Source organism: Homo sapiens, chromosome 2 (genome assembly GCF_000001405.40).
Source record: "Homo sapiens chromosome 2, GRCh38.p14 Primary Assembly".
NCBI classification, from domain to species: Eukaryota; Metazoa; Chordata; class Mammalia; order Primates; family Hominidae; genus Homo; species Homo sapiens.
In genome coordinates, this window is record NC_000002.12 from 190429108 (window position 1) to 190450313 (window position 21206).

The 21206-nt window shown below is 40.7% G+C and overlaps 2 protein-coding genes across 11 annotated transcripts in view; one reads left to right on the top strand and one right to left on the bottom strand.

The window, feature by feature from the left end:
- The window catches only part of MFSD6 (major facilitator superfamily domain containing 6), a 94739-nt gene that overhangs the window by 21532 nt on the left and 52001 nt on the right, over nucleotides 1–21206 (top strand). For 7 of the 10 annotated variants that reach the window (NM_001375989.1, XM_047444824.1, NM_001375992.1 and 4 more), the window contains one exon: nucleotides 6870–8454. In NM_001375989.1, coding sequence (NP_001362918.1) covers nucleotides 6923–8454 — 1532 coding nt within the window. In that variant the 5' untranslated portion in view covers nucleotides 6870–6922. Of the gene's footprint in view, nucleotides 1–4219; nucleotides 4286–6869; nucleotides 8455–21206 lie in introns of all 10 variants that reach the window. The other 3 variants (XM_047444825.1, XM_011511368.1, NM_001375988.1) reach the window with 1 other exon arrangement.
- NEMP2 (nuclear envelope integral membrane protein 2) overlaps nucleotides 1–21206 on the bottom strand; it is a 227365-nt gene that overhangs the window by 7687 nt on the left and 198472 nt on the right. The gene's annotated exons all lie outside the window — the stretch shown is intronic.

Genomic DNA, 21206 nt, shown 5'->3' on the forward strand with positions numbered 1-21206 from the left:
GGTGCCTATTCAAGCTTTTTGCTTATTTTTCCTATTGGGTTACCTGATATTTTCCTACTGATTTTTTTCTATTGATTTTAAAGAATAAATTTTTATATATCTGTATAATTCTTTTGTTACGTGTGTGTGTGTGTGTGTGTGTATACATATATCACCAAAATATCTTCTCTCACTCTTTGACTTGCCATTTCAATCTTTAATGGTAGCTTATGAACAGAAATTCTTTTTTTTTTTTTGAGATGGAGTCTCACTCTGTCGCCCAGCCTGGAGTACAGTGGTGCAATCTCGGCTCACTGCAACCTCCGTCTCCTGGGTTCAAGCGATTCTCCTGCCTCAGCCTCCCAAGCAGCTGGGATTACAGGCACCCACCACCATGCCCAGCTAATTTTTGTATTTTTTTAGTAAAGACGGGGTTTCATCATGTTGGCCAGCCTGGTTTCGAACTCTTGATCTCAGGTGATCCTCCCAAAGTGCTAGGATTACAGGTATGAGCTACTGCACCTAGCCAGAAATTCTTAATTTTAATGTAGTTCAATTATTTTTTCTTCTTTAATGTTTAATATACTCTGTGTCTTATTTAGTAAATATTTTCCTATCTATAAATCTTTAAGATATTTTTCTATGTTTTCTTCTAAAAGCTATGTTATTTAATCTTTGACTTTTAAACCTATAATCTACCTGGAATTCATTTTTGTATATGATGTCAGATACATATATCTGTGTATTGTTGCTCTTGTTCTTTTTTTTTCTTTATTATACTTTAAGTTCTAGGGTACATGTGTACAATGTGCAGATTTGATACATATGTATACATGTGCCATGTTGGTGTGCTGCACCCATTAACTCGTCATTTACATTAGGTATATCTCCTAATGCTATCCCTCCCCCAGCTCCCCACCCCCCAACAGGCCCCAGTGTGTGATGTTCCCTGCCCTATGTCCAAGTGTTCTCATTGTTCAATTTCCACCTATAAGTGAGAACATGTGGTGTTTGGTTTTCTGTCCTTGTGTCAGTTTGCTGAGAATGATGGTTTCCAGCTTCATCCATGTCCCTGCAAAGGACATGAACGCATCCTTTTTATGGCTGCATAGTCCTCATTCTTTTTTTTTTTTTTTTAATTGATCATTCTTGGGTGTTTCTCGCAGAGGGGGATTTGGCAGGGTCATAGGATAGTAGTGGAGGGAAGGTCAGCAGATAAACAAGTGAACAAAGATCTCTGGTTTTCCTAGGCAGAGGACCCTGCGGCCTTCCGCAGTGTTTGTGTCCCTGGGTACTTGAGATTAGGGAGTGGTGATGACTCTTAAGGAGCATGCTGCCTTCAAGCATCTGTTTAACAAAGCACATCTTGCACCGCCCTTAATCCATTTAACCCTGAGTGGACACAGCACATGTTTCAGAGAGCACAGGGTTGGGGGTAAGGTCACAGATCAACAGGATCCCAAGGCAGAAGAATTTTTCTTAGTACAGAACAAAATGAAAAGTCTCCCATGTCTGCTTCTTTCTACACAGACACAGCAACCATCCGATTTCTCAATCTTTTCCCCACCTTTCCCCCTTTTCTATTCCACAAAACCGCCATTGTCATCATGGCCCGTTCTCAATGAGCTGTTGGGTACACTTCCCAGACGGGGTGGTGGCCAGGCAGAGGGGCTCCTCACTTCCCAGAAGGGGCGGCCGGGCGGGCAGAGGCGCCCCCCCCACCTCCCTCCCGGACGGGGCGGCCGGCCGGGCGGGGGCTGACCCCCCACCTCCCTCCCGGACGGGGCGGCTGCCGGGCGGAGACGCTCCTCACTTCCCAGATGGGGTGGCTGCCGGGCGGAGGGGCTCCTCACTTCTCAGACGGGGCGGCTGCTGGGTGAAGGGGCTCCTCACTTCTCAGATGGGGCAGCTGGGCAGAGACGCTCCTCACCTCCCAGACGGGGTCGCGGCCGGGCAGAGGCGCTCCTCACCTCCCAGACGGGGTCGCAGCCGGGCAGAGGCGCTCCTCACATCCCAGACAGGGCGGCGGGGCAGAGGCGCTCCCCACATCTCAGACGATGGGCAGCCAGGCAGAGACGCTCCTCACTTCCCAGATGGGATGGTGGCCGGGAAGAGGCGCTCCTCACTTCCCAGACTGGGCAGCCAGGCAGAGGGGCTCCTCACCTCCCAGAGGATGGGCGGCCAGGCAGAGACGCTCCTCACTTCCCAGACGGGGTGGCGGCCGGGCAGAGGCTGCAATCTCGGCACTTTGGGAGGCCAAGGCAGGCAGCTGGGAGGTGGAGGTTGTAGCGAGCCGAGATCACCCCACTGCACTCCAGCCTGGGCACCATTGATCACTGAGTGAACGAGACTCCGTCTGCAATCCCGGCACCTCTGGAGGCCGAGGCTGGCGGATCACTCGCGATTAGGAGCTGGAGACTAGCCCGGCCAACACAGCGAAACCCCGTCTCCACCAAAAAAATACGAAAACCAGTCAGGTGTGGCGGCGCGCGCCTGCAATCGCAGGCACTTGGCAGGCTGAGGCAGGGGAATCAGGCAGGGAGGTTGCAGTGAGCCGAGATGGCAGCAGTACAGTCCAGCTTCGGCTCAGCATCAGGGAGACCGTGGAAAGAGAGGGAGAGGGAGACTGTGGGGAGAGGGAGGGAGAGGGAGAGGGAGAGGGAGCATGAGCATCTTGTTCTTTATTTTCCTAAGAAATTGCCTTAAATTTTTCTTTCATATCATCTCAATTTTTCATTTATGCTATAATACTTATAAATTCCAGAGCTTTTTATTCAAGTATTCCTTTTATCTGTCCATCCTTTTTCTTTAAAAATATACATTATTCTGGTATTGTTTCATAGTTGCATAATCTTCTCTTATTTCTGAAGATAATCATATATTCAAAAGTATTTTCCTTTTTACTTGGCTTCTGATTTCTCTGGACTGATAGTGTTTCCTGTTTTGGTTCTGTTTTTCATGTAACAGACTTTCCTCAAATGTCTTATAATCCTTGGTAATTACTCATATTTAGTGGAAGGTCTTGATAACTCTGAGTTCCTGTGTAGGGTCATTGGGTTGTGTTGTTTAGTTGGAGAGGTTTCAATATAAGCATCTAGAAGTCATTCCTCTTAGGCTAACCAGATTTTCTAGAGAAGAGGCTTTAACTTTCCTGCCTAGAGGATGGAAGTCTTGCCAGCCTCTGGGAACCTCCTGAAGAAAGTGGGATGGGGAAAGGGGCCAAGGCTCAGAATCCAGGATGTGTATGTTCACTTGATGCCCTGCTTTCAGCATGGCACCGTTTACAACTCTGCTTGGTGCTCTATGGCCAGAAAACCTCTGTGTTTCTTGTTTGTTTTTGTTTTTTGAGACAGAGTCTTGCTCCGTCACCCAGGCTGGAGAATGCAGTGGCGTGATCTCGGCTCTCTGCAACCTCCGGCTCCTGGGTTCAAGTGATTCTCTTGCCTCAGCCTCTAAAGTAGCTGAGATTACAGGCACCTGCCACCATGCCTGGCTAATTTTTGTATTTTTAGTAGAGACAGGGTTTTGCCAAGTTGGCCAGGCTGCTCTTGAACTCCTGACCTCAAATGATCCACCCACCTCAACCTCCTAAAGTGCTTGAATTACAGGCGTGAGCCACCGCACCTGGCCAAAATCTCTGTGTTTTACTTTCCAGAGGAAAATAACCTGCATTTGTTTGGGGTTTAGACTTTCAGTCAGCTCTATTTGAGCACCTCCCCAACCCCTGCCACCCCCGCCCCCCAACACACACACACTCTCTCTCTCTCTCTCTTTCACTCACTTACTCACACATACACTCTTTCTCTTACTTGCATATAAATCTAATATAGCTAACTCATGAGCCTTTCAGGGATTCCGAGTAGTAAATTTTATTAGTTCTTGGCTTTCCCTATAATCAACCAAGGTTTTAGTTTTCTCAGATCTACCAAGTCTTTTACCAATTGTTTACTTTCTGCTTTCCGTAATTTTATTTTATTGCTATTATGTGCCCTTTAATCTTTCTAGCTTGAATTATGACTTTTACAGTGTGTGTGTATGTTTGGGTGTGTGTGTGTTTATTGTCATTTTAGTGGGTTCAGGGAAGGATTCAAACTACATGTGTTTAATCTGCTCTCTTTACCCAGAAGTATCACATAATTTTATACATTTGAAACACAAGAAATGTTTCTTTGAATTTTGAGCTCAGGAATTAAATTAATTTAGAAAATAGATTTGAGGGCAAATTATTTTTTCTTTTCAGATGATGAAATGGAATTGGAGCCGCTGAGCTGGATAGGTGAAGGCACTAATGATGAAGGAAAAATAGGTATAGAACATTAAAGAAAGTCATGTATAGCTAAGCAGCAAAAGATTGGATTTTGCTTAACCTTCACATTTTCTAGGAGGAAAAAAATGTTTTTCTTTCACTATTAAGAAAAACCTGATTTGGAAACTAAATAGAGGTGGTGGCCATATACATTGTGAATATAGTAAATTACCGCTGAATTGTTCACTTTCAAAATGGTTAATTTTGTGTTATGTGAATTTCACTTCAGTTAAATTTTTTTTAACCTAAAAAACCGACATGAACATTTTCAAAGCTTACAGCTACATTGACATCTGGCTTTTGGGGATAACAGATAAATTGACTCCTTACACAGGTCTCCTTAAGTTGTGTTCCATTGTCTACCTAGGAGCTTTGTAGAGATTAAAAAATGCTTACAAGTATAATTTTAGAAGGTTTTTCAGAATGTTATTCATTTTGGGAAAACAAAGAGCAAGATCTATTCCAAGGGGTAGCAAGTGAAACTGATATTTTTCTCTAGTAAAGAAAGTGAAAGGAGGCAGGGTGCAGTGGTTCACGCCTGTAATCCCAGCACTTTGGGAGGCTGAGGCAAGAGGATCACTTGAGCCCAGGAGTTGGAGAACGGCCTGGGCAACATGGCAAAAACCCCATCTCTACAAAAATTAGTTGGGCATGGTGGCACACGTCTGTAGTCCTAGCTACTTAGGAGACTGAGGTGGAAGGATTGCTTGAGACTGGGAGGTTGAGGCTGCAGTGCCATAATTACACCACTGCACTCCAGCCTGGGTGACAGAGTAAGACCCTGTCTCTCAAAAAAAAAAAAAGAAAAAAAAGAAAAGAAGGTGAAAGGAATTAACACATATTTAATGTATATACTTCCTACCATCAGAATCTGTTCATTGGAACAACATAATTCTTGATGCACACAAGACCTTTTGACACTTTAATCATTCAATCTTTAATAGAAGAAAGGGAAATTCTGATGGGATGCTGGCACAGTTCCTATAAATTTATATAAATGTATATTGCTAATATCGTATATGAAAAACATTTATTTATTTTATTTTATTTATTTATTTTTTTGAGACGGAGTCTCGCTCTGTTGCCAGGCTGGAGTGCAGTGGCGCAATCTCAGCTCACTGCAACCTCCGCCTCCTGGGTTCGAGCAATTTGCCTGCCTCAGCTTCCCAAGTAGCTGGGACTACATGCGTGCCACCAGGCCCAGCTAATTCTTGTACTTTTAGTAGAAACGGGGTTTCACCATGTTGGCCAGGATGGTCTCAATCTCCTGAACTCATGATCCGCCCCCCTCAGCCTCCCAAAGTGCTGGGATTACAGGTGTGAGCCACCGCGCCCGGCCAAAACACTGTTTTTCAAAAAAGTTTACTGGCATCTTATCTAAAATGTGTTATTTTTCAGTTTAGTGTGTCTTAGAGCAGGGTTCCCCAACCCCTGGACCATGGACCGCTACCACTCTGTGGCCTGTTAGGAATTGGGCTGCACAGCAAGAGCGGGCCAGCAAGCATTATCACATGAGCTCTTCCTCCTGTCAGATCAGCAGAGGTATTAGATTTGCATAGGAGCATGAACGCTATTGTGAACTGTGCATGCGAGGGATGTAGGTTGTGTGCTCCTTATGAGAACCTAAGAATTACCCTGATGATCTGAAGTGGAGCAGTTCATCCCAAAACCAACCCCCCTCTCCATCTGAGGAAAAATTATCTTCCATGAAACCAGTCCCTGGTGCCAAAATGGTTGGGGACTACCATCGTAGAGAGCATGTGTCCTGAAGCCATAATGTCAGGGTTCAAATCCTGGCACTGCCTCTTATTAGTTAAACCTGCCATGCCTCATTCTTCTCATCTGTAAAATGGACAAGATAATAGGGCTATTGTGATGAATATGAATGAATACATGTAAAGATCTTTTAATCTTATCTGATACAGAGTGCTAAATAAGTATTATCTGCTCTTTTTTCTTGCCATTTTCTTAAACTGCTATCTATAAAGCACATCTGGAGGACTGTACATAATATATGCAATGTGAAGACTCCTTCATTACCAGGGTATCTTTGTCATGGCTCCAGTGAGCACTATAGTTGCAACAATGCCATCGGCTTCCTCTTTCTCATTACATTTGTGGTTGTGGTTAAGTGCAACCTATTTTTCCTTAGAAACAGAATGGTTTTGCTACCTTTATTTTCTAAAGAATCCTAGACTTCATAATGTAGTGGATTTGTTTGAACAGTAAAATCAAGAAACTATAAACAGTGTTTATTTTCAACTCTCTGTGTTTGGTTTAGACATAATCCCTATTATTTGTACATTTTCCCTGGGAATCAATGAAAAGACTGGGAATGAATCTGAGCTGTAAACCTGCCATTGGAAGATGTAATTAGTCAGTCAGTGGCCATAAAGAGTATTCGATTTTTTTAAAAGCTATTTTTCCTTACCGGTATTGTGTGGCTGCAAGTGATAAATGATGAGAATTCTCTCTTGCAATTATTATTTTAGTTTGTAACTGCTTAATTTCCTGCAAGATGAAGTTCTGTGTTTACATGTTATGATTTTCATTACTAAGCCATCTTTTAAATTTTACTTTACAGATCAACAGTACAAATTCTGAAGTTTGTAAACTTGCTGATGGTGGTGGTAAGCCATGGCAGATGATAAAGTTGCTATCTTAACGGATGATGAAGAGGAACAGAAGAGAAAGTATGTGCTTGCAGATCCCTTTAATGGTATTTCCAGGGAACCAGAACCACCTTCGAATGAAACACCTTCCTCCACAGAAACATCTGCTATTCCTGAGGAGGAAATAGACTGGATAGAGAAACATTGTGTTAAGATAAACAACGATCTTCTAATTTCCAAGGTCTTTTATTTTTTCTTTTACTCTGCCTATGGCTCTCTCTATCCCCTTTTGCCTGTGTATTACAAACAGCTGGGAATGTCTCCAAGCCAGAGTGGACTACTAGTAGGTATTCGTTACTTCATTGAATTCTGCAGTGCCCCCTTTTGGGGTGTAGTTGCAGACCGCTTTAAAAAAGGCAAAATTGTCCTCCTCTTTTCTCTTTTGTGTTGGGTTTTATTCAACCTGGGCATTGGATTTGTCAAACCTGCTACCTTGAGATGTGTACCAAAGATTCGCCCAACAACTCACCCCACCAATGCAAGTCACCAGTTAACTATCCTGCCAACAAATTCTTCCTTTACCTCTTTCCTCACCATATCACCAAAAATGCGTGAGAAAAGAAACCTTTTGGAAACAAGGCTCAATGTCTCAGACACCGTTACTTTGCCAACAGCTCCAAACATGAACAGTGAACCCACTCTGCAGCCCCAGACAGGTGAAATTACTAACCGTATGATGGACTTGACTTTGAACTCAAGCACAGCAACCCCTGTCTCCCCAGGAAGCGTAACCAAGGAGACAACCACTGTTATTGTTACCACCACCAAATCTTTACCTTCTGACCAAGTCATGCTTGTTTATGATCAACAAGAAGTTGAAGCTATATTCTTGGTGATCTTGGTAGTTGTCATAATAGGAGAATTTTTCAGTGCCTCTTCTGTCACAATCGTAGACACGGTCACACTCCAGTATCTGGGAAAACACAGAGATCGCTATGGGTTGCAGCGCATGTGGGGCTCCCTGGGCTGGGGCCTGGCGATGCTGTCTGTGGGCATCGGGATCGACTACACCCACATCGAAGTGCTCATCGATGGAAAGGGGTGTAAGCCCCCCGAGTACAGGAATTACCAGATCGTCTTCATCGTCTTCGGCGTTCTCATGACCATGGCCTTGATCGTTGCCACTCAGTTCCGGTTCCGCTACAACCATTTCAAAAACGATGATTCTAAAGGGAAAGAGGTGGAGATCCCGCAGGTGGAAAGGAACAACTCTACAGAGTCCTCTGAGGAGACACCAACCACCACAAGCCACTCGCAGGCCTTCAACTTTTGGGACTTAATCAAGCTGCTCTGCAGCGTGCAGTATGGCTCAGTGCTGTTTGTGGCTTGGTTCATGGGTTTTGGATATGGCTTCGTGTTCACCTTTCTCTACTGGCATTTGGAAGACCTCAATGGAACTACAACCCTCTTTGGGGTCTGTTCAGTCCTGAGTCATGTGTCTGAGCTGACAGCATATTTTTTTAGTCACAAGCTTATTGAATTGATCGGCCACATCAGGTAAGAACATGCTTACGATTGCTGCCCCTCAGCAATTGAACTTTATCTTTTTATGGTTTATAGCTCCTTCTACTACAATTTTAAGGTATTATAATTTGTGTTGAGGATAGGGTTGGAGTGGAAATGGGGATTTCTGTTTCTTTTCCTCCTTAAAATAGAAACAAAGGAAAGGAAGTCATGAACCTGGTTGGATTATCTCAAATAAACAAAGAATGGCTTCCTCTGCTCTCCCACCCCACAGAAAAGACCTATAGGCTACCTAGCTGTGTGCTAAGAGACTCTCACAGTACATGTTTTCAGGTATAGGAACACCAGCTTAGTGAACATATTATTCCATGGAGGGTCCACCTGTCCTAGGCATTTATGAACCAGAGCTTAAGTAGATAAAGTGGACTTTTTTAAGCCTTTATTCTCAGCCACTTGCTGACATAGATAGAGCCTGAATATATGGCATCTAAAGATGTCCATTATATCTAATAAGACTGTGATGTAACCCACCGTAATCCCTAATTCCATGATATTACATGGATGAGGTTCTTAAGTATTTTTTTTGGGTTATTACATGACTCCCTGCATTTCTGTCCACCATGAAGACATAGGATATTTGAAAATCTTTCTTCCACCTAAAATTTCCCATGTAATTCTTTTAGTTATAAAAAAAAAAATCTATAGGCTGGGCACAGTGGCTCACACCTGCTAATCCCAGCACTTTGAGAGGCCGAGGCAGGTGGATCACTTGAGGTCAGGAGTTCGAGACCAGCCTGGCCAACATGGTGAAACCCCATCTCTACTAAAAATACAAAAGTTAGCCGGGCATGGTGGCACGCACCCGTAGTCCCAGCTACTCGGGAGGCTGACGCACAAGAATCACTTGAACCCAGGAGGCAGAGGTTGCAGTGAGTCAAGATCACACCACTGCACACCAGCCTGGGCAACAGAGTGAGACTCCATCTAAAAAAAGAGAACACCCTGTAAGTGCCTAGTGTTTCTTGTTGTGTACTATTTCTTCTCACCATTAATGTGCACCTTGCTCTTTAGAGATCTTTCTGCTCTGTTGGCTCTAAATGTGGAGCCAACTCCACTTAAGCATTCTTGCCTTACAGAAAAGTACGACATGTCTGTTCCTAAAATGTGAAGTTGCTGTAACTAAAAGCAACCGTATGTGTTTGTGTGTATTTAAATCTGCTATTTCTATAAGAAATTAAAGAGGAGAAATAGACAATGACAAGATTTGACAATCCTTTATTTCCTTTCTATTAACTGAAGAAAATATTTTCTAATTTAAAGTTTCAACCTAGTATCAACCATTTCTTTAAGCAATTGTGAGTATTTTTTCTTGTTGGTTTGGTTTTGCTTCGGGAGGTGGTGTTCTGTTCCTTCCCTTTCTCAGATCTTCGATCCCTTTGTTGTCACCACCAAAGTCAGGGACTGTGTGGATATTTCCTGGACCCACAGAACCCCTGAGGCACATTTTGTAAGACCATTCTGAAAGAGAGCCCACATAATATTAAGGACTCGGAATGCCCTTTAATTTTGTCCACACCATGTTTAGATTATCTGAGCTGTTTAAATTGACCGAGATGAATCAGATGCCTCCCTTCAGCTTGGGCAGATGAGCAAATCTCACTGCAGTTAATAATGTCTTTAAAATCACTGTTATTCATTCCCAGAAAGGTACCCAGTTAGGTCTTACCAATGCGTGGAGTTCTTAGACATCATTATTTAATAAGTCAATAGCATGAGTTGAACACTGACTCAGTACAGAGTATGTGTTTAGGTTCTATTTTCTTTTTTTTCACGTTTTATTTGTTTATTTTTTTATTATACTTTAAGTTTTAGGGTACACGTGCACAACGTGCAGATTTGTTGCATGTGTATAGATAGGTTCTATTTTCAAAGGAATTGTTAGGTTATTTCCACATGCTAAGAAAAGATGGTTCTCTTCTACCTTTGCCTTTTGTCTGAGACATATGCAGCATTTTCATGATAAAATCCTAGTGGGTTTACTACTCCTTTGGTAAGCTTAGACTTGTGTGTTTCTTTCCTGTGTAGTATTAGTTACTCATCATTTCAAAATTCACTTAACCTTAATTTTCTGGTTTTTACGGACAAAAAGCATCTTCCATTTCTTGTTTAATAATGTGATGGAAGAAGATGGCTGTTATGGTCATATTGCTCCCAAGAGTCTGTGGGAATTCCATCAGTATGTGGTCATTTACCTGTTTTGAATTTTCATTCTGTCCATTAAAATGTATTAATTATTTCAAGTGCTTTTAAAAGAGTCTGATAGCTAAAATGAGAATATGTCCACATACTTAGGTAGAATGGATCTGTTCCTTTTAGTGATAATTTTGGGAGCTCAGTCAGGTGGTATTGGTTGTGATTTGGGGATTTAAACTTTCCACTGGAAGAATACCATTCATTAAGTAGTTGGTGAAGAGAAATGATCTCTGAATTATGAGCCTTGATGTGTTGCTTGTAGGATCACAGAAGTAGATCTGCCCATGGCCTTTATGCATGCATGTATATTATTTCAGTACTTTGTGGTTGTCCTGTTGGAAGTTTGTTTTTAGGAGTTGGCACTACCATATATTTGTGGAGATTCACAAATTCTTCATCTAGAGTAATAATAAGAAAGATTCATACCAGAAAATAGTTTTTTAAAAATAGCATGTCCAGTTTTGAACTCAGTATTTTAACAGTTTCACAATATACAACCAGTTTCTCAGGGACTGACCTGTCAGTCTAAACACACACACATAGAGTATCTGATTTCTGATTTTGACCTTGGATTTTGTCCTTCTCTGGAAGGTGACTTTCTCAGGCAAATAGGATAATAATGCTAAATATTTCCACTTTTAAAAATAAATTTCTTTTGATCCAAAATCATAAGACTTTGGAATTTACAGCAAGTATATTTTTAGGCTATAAATGATTAACAGGATATAAATGTATCTTAAGGTATCTTCACATTGCTTAACATTTTAGCAGCTATGAGTAGGATTATAATCAAAATACATTGCAGTAAATCATTTGTAAATTTGTAAATCATTACTTTCCAATGTTAGGCCATCCCCTATGTTATTTGATTTAAATTTATTTACATTTTAAGGGACACAGAAAAATCTATTCAATCAATCTGTGACTTTGCCCTGAAATTCTTACACTCAAGGTCTGTTTTGCCATGCAAATATTATCCGGGGGGGTTACATTACCTATTATTAGCCATCAATTACTACTTAATATTAGCAAAATATACAAATGAACTAGCCAGTCAGTTTGGGAAAGAAGAAAATACCTGATGCAGCTAGTAAGAGGAGGAACACCAGGGTTTCCTGATGGGATGCTGCAGGATGAACCAGAACAGATAGCAAGATGCTGGGCTTCAGCACAGCCAAGGACACATGGGAGGTGGCACATGATAGTCTGGTCACTGGAGGAATAGCAGTAAGTATTATAAGAGGGAAGAAACTCTGCAGCCGGGTGTTCAATGTGAGCTGGCCACTGAAGGGTTTAAGGAAGATCATGCCTACTTTTTTTTCTCCTTCTTCTCATCATCTTATTTCTACCCATCTCTTTGTGCCATCTTTGCTGATCTTAGGCCCACAGGCTCTCAGATCCTCTCCTTGCCCCGTATGAAAGGGTGCTGATTTCTGTAGGCTATGTTTTCCAGGGTCTGTTCTCGTGTCTTCTACTTGGGTTCGGCTAATGTATTGGTTCTCAACTCACCAAGAGAGCTTTTAAAGCTCCTAATGCCCAGGTTGCACCCAGACCAATTACATCAGTCTTTCTAGGGGTGTACCGAGGCATTCAACGTTTTTACAGCTTCCTAGTTGATTCTAGTTTGTGCAGCCAAGGTTGAGAACCACCAGGCTAATGGGAGGCATAGGTAAGGGGAGGATTACAGGAAAGGAGGAGGGGCGGGGGTTGGGGGGAAAGCAGGGCATTTATATTTCTCTTTCCAGCTCATGCAGCATGTTTGTGTAAGATTTGGAGATGGTTCCCTCTAGTCCTCTCTCTGGCCTCTTGTAGTTTACTTATGTACATGTGCTGGTCAGTACTCAGCTGAAGACTCTAGGGAAGCTACAGATCTCTACAGTCCTCTCTCTCTGTAGCTTTCTCCACGTGGGTACTCTGTCCCGCTTCCCAGACTCTCAGCCTTGTCTCCTCAGCTCTAGAGACCTCTGTGAGCTGCTGCGTCTCACCTATGCCCCACCCACTGTGGGTGGCCCTGAGCTCCAACAACATTCTCTCCTCTCTTTATTCTTCTGCCCAAGGCCGTGGAGAGGCTGCCTGTGGTTCTCACAGTGGTCTGGCTTCCCAGCTTTTCTGTCACCTACCTAACCAAGTCCCTGAATTAAGTCAGATTGGTGCCTGCCTCTGATGAGATCCTGATCCACCACTCTTCACTACTTACAAAGACTCCTGATGGCAATTGATACTGTGAAGAAACAGAATACAAATAGAATAACTCAATTATTGATTAAAAAGCAAAAAGATGGTAGACCTTAAATAACTTTTTCCCCATTCTGATTCCTTAAGGGAGGATTAATTCTTCTTTAAAAATGGTTTTTACCACAATAAAAATGTTTTAAAAGATGACTTAATTCTCATAGTAAATTTGGAATTATGAATTCTACATGCTCTAGAGGACCAAGTATTATTCTATATTACTTAAAAATCAAAATCCTAGACATTTGTTCAATTTAGTTGAACAGTTATTTAGGCCCAAAGAGCCTCAGATTAGTAAGATGCAGGGGCTGAATACTAAAGGGAAGCGTGTTGGAAAAAACAGGAGAGACTGAGGCCAGATGGATGCTGGGATCAGTAACCTGAATTTCATCTGGAGGCAGTAGGTAGCCATAGCAAGGTTCAAAGCAGGGAGGACCATAGATTTTCATATGTTCCTCCCTGCTTTGAATGTTGCTATGCAGGGTAACTTTGAAGCCAGGAGCCCACTGAGAAGGTTCTTAAAATAGTCCAAGTAAGAGACGGTACAGGCCTGAACTGCAGCAGTAGCAACAGAAATTGAGGGAAGGAATAGATCTGGGAGGTAAAATTGACAGAATTATTTGGATGTGGAAGTGAGGTAGAGACCCCTACATTTCCAGCTTGGTATGGTAATTCCAAAAATCTAATAGGAAATTCAGAAAGGAGATGTAGAATGGGGTGGGGGTGTGATTGTTTGGTTTGAAATTGAAACATCTAGATGGGGATGTCTAGCAGGCAGTTGACACAATATTGTAAGTCTGAAGCTTATAGGAGAGGTTAGGACGGGATGCAGATTTGCAGCAGTGAAAATCGGGAATGTGGATAAGATCAACAAGGAAATCTTGTCGTCTAAGAAGAGAAATGGGCTGAGGAAAATCAATTATAATTGTCTCCAAGATAGTATTTCAAGTTTCTGATTTATTGAAATGTTGGTCTGTGCTTTATTGCTTAAAGTAAGTATCCTTATGCTTGAGAATATTTTGTGTTATATGGAACTGTCATTATGGTATTACCGTAACCTGTTTCTATATATTGTTTTAGCAGCAATGGACTTTCTGAGCACCCCCCAATATCATCACCTGAGCCAGGAACCCTCTGTGGGTGTTCCTAGGTGGGCCTAAGACATAAGCAAGGGAGAAAAAAAATAAAAGGAACAGGACTTTAAGGATTGTATGGTGGTTACGAGCAGAGGCTGAGTCAGATTGCCTGGCTCTGCAACTTGGAACTATATGGCCTTGGACAAGTTACAGAACTTTTTGCATCTCTGTATTGTTATCTATAAATAGGGATATTATTAGTACCTGCTTCTTAGGGTTTTTTATGAAGACTAGATGAGATAAAACATGGCAATTGCTTCAACAATGACCAGCATAGATTAGGAGTTCAGCTTATTTTACTTTTTTTCTGTCAGTCTGATATATTATGCTGTTTATAACTACAAGACCCATTGAAGTTGATAAAAATACAAGTTGACAGTACAATATCAGAAGTGTACAGATGATTAAACCTGCAAAGTCAAGATGTTTATGATTTTCAAAATAACTAACATTCCCCCTTAAACATCTTAGTCAAATTGAAATTTTTCTCCCCAAATTTCTGATGACCATAGATTTTCAAATGAAATGGAGTTATATCAAATTGGAAGTGCACTCCTGATACAGCCTTTATATAATAGAATCTTTTGCTCTTATAAACAAAGGTTGTCTTCTTAAAGATTAGTCTAGTCTGGGTGTGGCTCACACCTATAATCCCAGCACTTTGGGAGGCTGAGGCAGGAGGATGTCTTGAGCCCAGGAGTTCGAGATCAGCCTGGGCAACATGGTGAGACCTTGTCTCTACAAAAAATAACATTAGCTGGGCATGGTGTCACACGCCTGTAGTCCCAGTTACTTGGGAGCCTGAGCTGGGAGGATCTGTTGAGCCCAAAAGGAAGTCAAGGCTGCAGTGAGCTGTGATCACACCACTGCACTCCAGCCTGGGTGACAGAGCAAGACCCTGTTTCAAAAAAGAAAAGGAGAAAAAATGAGTAGTCTAATTAAGTTAATCAGTACTAGAAAATGAAGTACTTTTATACTTTCAATTTTGTAGGATATGTGTAAAAAAACTGTTGATTTGATGTCATCTGACTAGTTAATGAAATAAAAGGTAATAACTTTTCTTAGCACTGGTGAAATGAGACCTGTTTGGCCTGTGTTTTCTCTGCCAGAGCAGTACAAGTAATTGACTGTGGCTTTAAGCCCAGTGTATGAGTATTCTTGGTCATGGCCCAGTTTTTCACAGAGGTACGAAGATTCCATGTGGAATCCTGCCAGCCAACTTATAGGCACTGTAGAATATAGTTTAGCCACAACATCAGTTCTACTGTAATATCAGTGTCAGTTTTTAAAATGTGAAATAAATGAGTGCTCTGTAGCAGTGAAACAGGAGTTTACTCACAAGGTCTGAGGAAGGTGGATTGCAGATGTAAAGTGGCTGTGTGTTCTTTTCTTTTTAGTGTAGGGGAGATTTTATGGTTCCATCGAAGTCATCATTCTCCACAACTCAGTTTTGTGTTTTTTGTTTGTGTTTTTCATTTATTATATAAAAACCATGGCAAAGCACTAAAGAAAACAAACATAAAGCCACACTGTAACTCCTGAAATTGGATAATCAGTCCAACATTTCTACAGGGGTTAGAATTTATATCATCTTGTGTAACTTTATTGTTACAGTTTTGAAACTGAGTATTAGGGTGCTAAAACCATCCTCCATTTCATTCAGAAACAAGTGTTTCATAAAGATAATGTTTTGTGCCCTATTTTAAATTCCAATTATTTTATACAAAATCATAGTAAAAAGTGACGTTAATCTTTTTCCTTGTTTTTGCACTATGTATCTTGGTAAATTAACTGTAGCATACTGGGTAACAAATTTAGAGCTAGTGTAGTCCAGGCCTCTTATTTTACAGCCCACCTGAGGATACAAGCCTGAAGTCTTGCACCCTTCAGAGTAGGCCTTGGTGTTAAGTGAGGCCCTTTGAGTTGAACTGGCCTGGCTTCCATCCTGCTTGTGCTCCTTATTTAACTGGACAATCTTGGGCCTGCTGTGTGAGCTGAGTCTCAGTTTTATTCATCTGTAAATCTGGGGATACTTATCTCATATTAAAGAGAATTACAGGAGAATTGATGCAAAGCACTCAGAATGGAGTCAGGCAGATAGCAAAGATGCAAGAAGCAGTCGGAGATGCTGTCATTGTTAACTATCAGTGGTGGGGGGATTTGGTGGCATTTGAGTGTTAGTTCCATTTAACTCATCAGAGTATTTAAGAAAATGTAGAATCTAGCTCCTTCACATGCTAAAAGTAGGACTTAAATATGTTCTGTCTCCTTTTCCAGAGTACCTCTCTTTTTAAAAAGCCCCAATCACAAAAAAAAAAACCCCGACTATACCCTGTTTAAAGAACACGAATTTTTTTTTTCTGACTCTGCCAGCCTTTCTCAGTGAGGGCTCCTCAGAAACACAAAACATACAGAATGACTTGAGTGACCATTTCTTCAGTTCTCCCAAGGATGGCATATAACTACTACCATTCGGATACATAAAAGACAGAATAATTTATTTCATATGATGGTGGCTTTAGAACATAAGGTCTTTTTCCTCTCCTGGTACCTTGGTTTAAAAATTTCATTTGCAGAGTCAGTTGGAATTTTTTTAAAAAGTTAAGTGCTTCTCTTTTCATTAGAATACTTACTTTGAAATCAGATTCATAACGTGGTAATATGGAAAGAATAATGCTTCCTGTAATTGACTAATGGACAAAAAGAAGGTCATTTTTTTTCCTTTATCTTTAAGCTCTAAGGATTACAGAGCTGAGATTTAAAAACAGTTTTGTTTTTTATCGGGATAGGTGATTTGCCAAAGGAGATATAGCCTGTATTAAACTCTGGTACGAGGGGAAAAAAATACATTATCCTGCCTCCTCCTTGATCAATCAAAGGGCATGAATTTTAATATTTAAAAAATGTCTTTGTGAATTAAGCTTAAAAAATCCTACCCAAACAATAGCACTCTCCAAAAGTGAATGATTTTGCCACCATCAAATGATCTTCAGGATTCTCCCCTGTCTTGTGGTGAGGTTTAGTTTCCTAAGACCAAAATGAGATTAAGCCTTGCTGAACTTTATCTGAGTTTTAATAATCATAGAATTATTACAAACTCTGAAAGAGTTTGAGATTATAAGAGTATGCTGTTTTCACAACATAAAAGCCAGGTGGATGGACGCAGGGTGTATCCAAGGCTGCACAGTTTGGGAAGTTCCCCCAGATCTCTTCACTGCCTGCCAGAGTGTTCTGTCCGACAGAAAGGCACAGGCACTTTACTCTGCTAAATCCTATAGTTCCAACTGCTACAGCTCCCTAGCTTTTTGAAAAACCCAACTGAAAAGTAGTTTAAACTGGGAGAGCTATGTGTTAGCAGTAAAATCTGCCTAATAACTCACTGGGATCTGAGTTGGAAAAAAATTATCTGGCAGTGTCATGAAGTTTTTAAAATTTGGGGGATCAGAGAGAGGGAGGAACTAGGAAGGCACATTCATTTATAAAGAAGCTAATGAAACATGGACTACGAACTAGAAATTCCAAGTTGGCCAGAGATAGGGAATCTACAGTAGCTAGACATTTATGGATGTTCGTTCTGGGTCTGCTCAACCCAAAACTACATACTGGTGGGAATACAAGAGATGAATACTCGGTTCTGGTCTCCTTGCATTTATACCCTGGCTTTAAAGCTGAGCTTAAATGTCAACCTCCTTCAGAGCCATCTAAGACTGTACTGATTCTATTTTAGAACAGGCCAAATTTCAGGGGTGAGGGACTTAGGGATTCTGAGGATCTCTCCCAGTGCACTGCTCTGAAAATATGGTAGGCCTGGGCCAGCTGCTGGGACAGGTCACAAGCCATCACCACAAACATTTATCCAGAGAGTTCATGTTTAGCACAATCCTAAATGTTTCAGAGAAAACTAAAAATATGCAGTCTCTCTCTGATTCATAGGCTCAGTAAAAAAAAAAACTTGAAAGGATGTCTTGACACACAAAATATAAAAATATTAGCGCACTCAAGGTGTCTGACATGGAATTATTTTAACACAATGAGTATTAGAGAATGGAGCTAATTAGAGCTTTTCTAATCAGAGAACACAAAGTTAGTGATTTCAATTTTGTTTTGTTTTGTTTTGCTTTTAGCCAAAAGGACAGCTGGCAATGTTCTGTTAGACATGAGTGATTGAGCGAAACTGTGAGGTTAGGTCAGTGTGAGTCCATCACCAGTGGATTTCATTTTTAATTTTGTGCCAACTAGAGAGCTTTGGATTTGTTAAAATATGGCATTTATGGATTATTCCTGTACTGCTAAGTCCTCTGCTAATATATGGAGGACACATAGGCCCTATCTTATACATATAGTCTGTGTCATAGCACATATGAAAAAATGACCTACCTAGTGATATAAAGAAGCCACATTAAAAAATAAATTGCTTATATACTTCTTAGTGCCACGTTTTAGGCATTATAAGCTACTATCTTCATAATAGCTGGCAATATGAAAATTATAATTGCAGCTATTATTTATATGTGGGTAGATTTCTATTTTCCTATTCCTTTCACATTTTACCTCCAAAGACATTGATACCCATTTCTGGAGGAAAAGCCCCTTGGAGCTATTTAAAATACAGGTTCTCATTATCACATTGTAAGCTATGGAGTCTCAAAAATTGAAGAATTTATGATCAGGAATTGAAAGATAATCATTTGGTTTTTATCATCCCTTGAAAAGAACATCTTTGCAAAGAAATATCTTACCATGTAATATAGCTACCAGGCTGACTTATTAATAACAGCATTACTTATAATCAAGCTATTCATAGTTAAGAAGAAAAGGCCATTGTTGCAAAGTGGTATAAATGGATCCAGGGCTTTTACTGGCATCACATGGTTTTCTTTCTCTTCCATCTTCAGTGGCTGGGTTGATTGAGGTACTTGCTGAGTTAAAGAGAGCAGGACAAACACCATGTGTACTGTACCTTTTGTGATTGCAGACTGCCCTTAGACTGCCACCCTCTAACAGGCTGAGGTGATGGTCAAAGTGTATGGTAGACAAGAGTAAAGATGGTTCCTGCAAATTCCATTACCTAGACAACCACTGTGGAGACCAATTTAGCACTCTATGCTCAGCCTCAAGCTAGATACTCCCTATGGCCTAAAAATTACATTTTTTAGATAAATACCTCCCTGGAGAAACTCATACACATGCAGAAAGATGTGTACAAGGATGCTTAGTTGCTTACTTGTGGCTTTCTTACAGTGAAAAAGAGAAACAGTCTAAATAGCCATCAATTGAGGAATGGATACATTCAATATGGTATAGTCATAAGGTGAAATGTTAATGCAGGGGTTAAAAGAAATAGACTAGATCAATATGCCAACATGGAAAGCTGTCAACACTATGATGTTGACTGGGGAAAAAAGCAGGTTTCAAAATAATACACAATTCAGTACAGTTATACAAATGTTAACGATAAATTTTAAAAGTTTAGCATATTTTTATGGATTTACATATATATAAAGACATTTAAATTTGTAGAGGAATAATACACTCTAAATTCACAGTTGCCCTAGCTTTCTGGACAGGACAAAAAGAGAAAGGGACTTGGATGGGGAACAAAGGGGACCTCTACATTATCTGTAATATTTTTTTCTTTAAGGAAATAATGGCAAAATATTCATAATTTTCCATTCTTGGTGCTAGACAGTCTCTACCTTTTTTTGGTATTTTCTACTGGGAAATAGTTTGAAACCCATGTGTCCTTACAGTGGATCAATATAACCGTCCTCCTGTAGAAGAGCCAAATGTGTGTATGTGTATATGCATATGCATGTGTGTGCATAGTTATAGCTGTATATGTTTTAAAGAAACATTTATCCAAATACCTCAGGTAAACATTGAGATTTTGTGTCCCTAATATGCATATTGTCTGTCTATATTTTGCCCTAAATGGCATAAATGATTACAAGTCTATTTTGTATAACAACCATGGCTTCAGGTCTTATTTTCTTCTCTTTAAAATGAGATCAGGTGCAAATGCATAGTATGTTGTTAAGAATTAGCTGGGCGCAGTGGCTCATGCCTGTAATCCCAGCACTTTGGCAGGCTGAGGCAGGTGGATCACCTGAGGTCAGGAGTTCAAGACCAGCCTGGTCAACATGGTGAAACCCCATCTCTACTAAAAATACAAAAATTAGCTGGGCATGGTGGCGGGCACTTGTAGTCCCAGCTACTTGGGAGGCTGAGGCAGGAGAATCACTTGAACTTGGGAGATGGAGGTTGCAGTGAGCCGAGATGGCACCACTGCACACCCGCCTAGGTGACAGAGCAAGACTTCGTCTCAAAAAAAAAAAATTAATATCAAACTGTGTCCAACAACTTTGATTTGAATAGTAATTCATGCTGCTATAAAGACACATGCACACATATGACACATATGTTTATTGCGGCACTATTCACAATAGCAAAAACTTGGAACCAACCCAAATGTCCAACAATGATAGACTGGATTAAGAAAATGTAGCACATATAACCATGAAATACTATGCAGCCATAAAAAATGATGAGTTCATGTCCTTTGTAGGGACATGGATGAAATTGGAAATCATCATTCTCAGTAAACTATCGCAAGAACAAAAAACCAAACACCGCATATTCTCACTCATAGGTGGGAACTGAACAATGAGAACACATGGACACAGGGAGGGGAACATCACACTCTGGGGACTGTTGTGGGGTGGGGGAAGGGGGGAGGAATAGCTTTAGGAGATATACCTAATGCTAAATGACGAGTTAATGGGTGCAGCACACCAGCATGGCACATGTATACATATGTAACTAACCTGCACATTGTGCACGTGTACCCTAAAACTTAAAGTATAATAATAATAAAATAAAATTAAAAAAAAGAAAAAGAAATCAAGATACCAAAAAGCCAAGTGATGTCCCAAAGCTCATAAAGTTTATTACTGGCAGTAAGTGCAGGTATGAGTGTTTGTACCAGCTGTTTCGTTATCTTGAGTAATAGAGTGTCAGTTTACTGCGTTTTTATTGTACAAGTCAAAAGTCTTAACTAATTGGGCTAATTATATTTCTACATATACATGGAAATATCTGGCAGACTGCAATTATATAATTTTGAAGGATAGTCTGGAAGAGTGGATAAGAAAATAAATTTTCTCA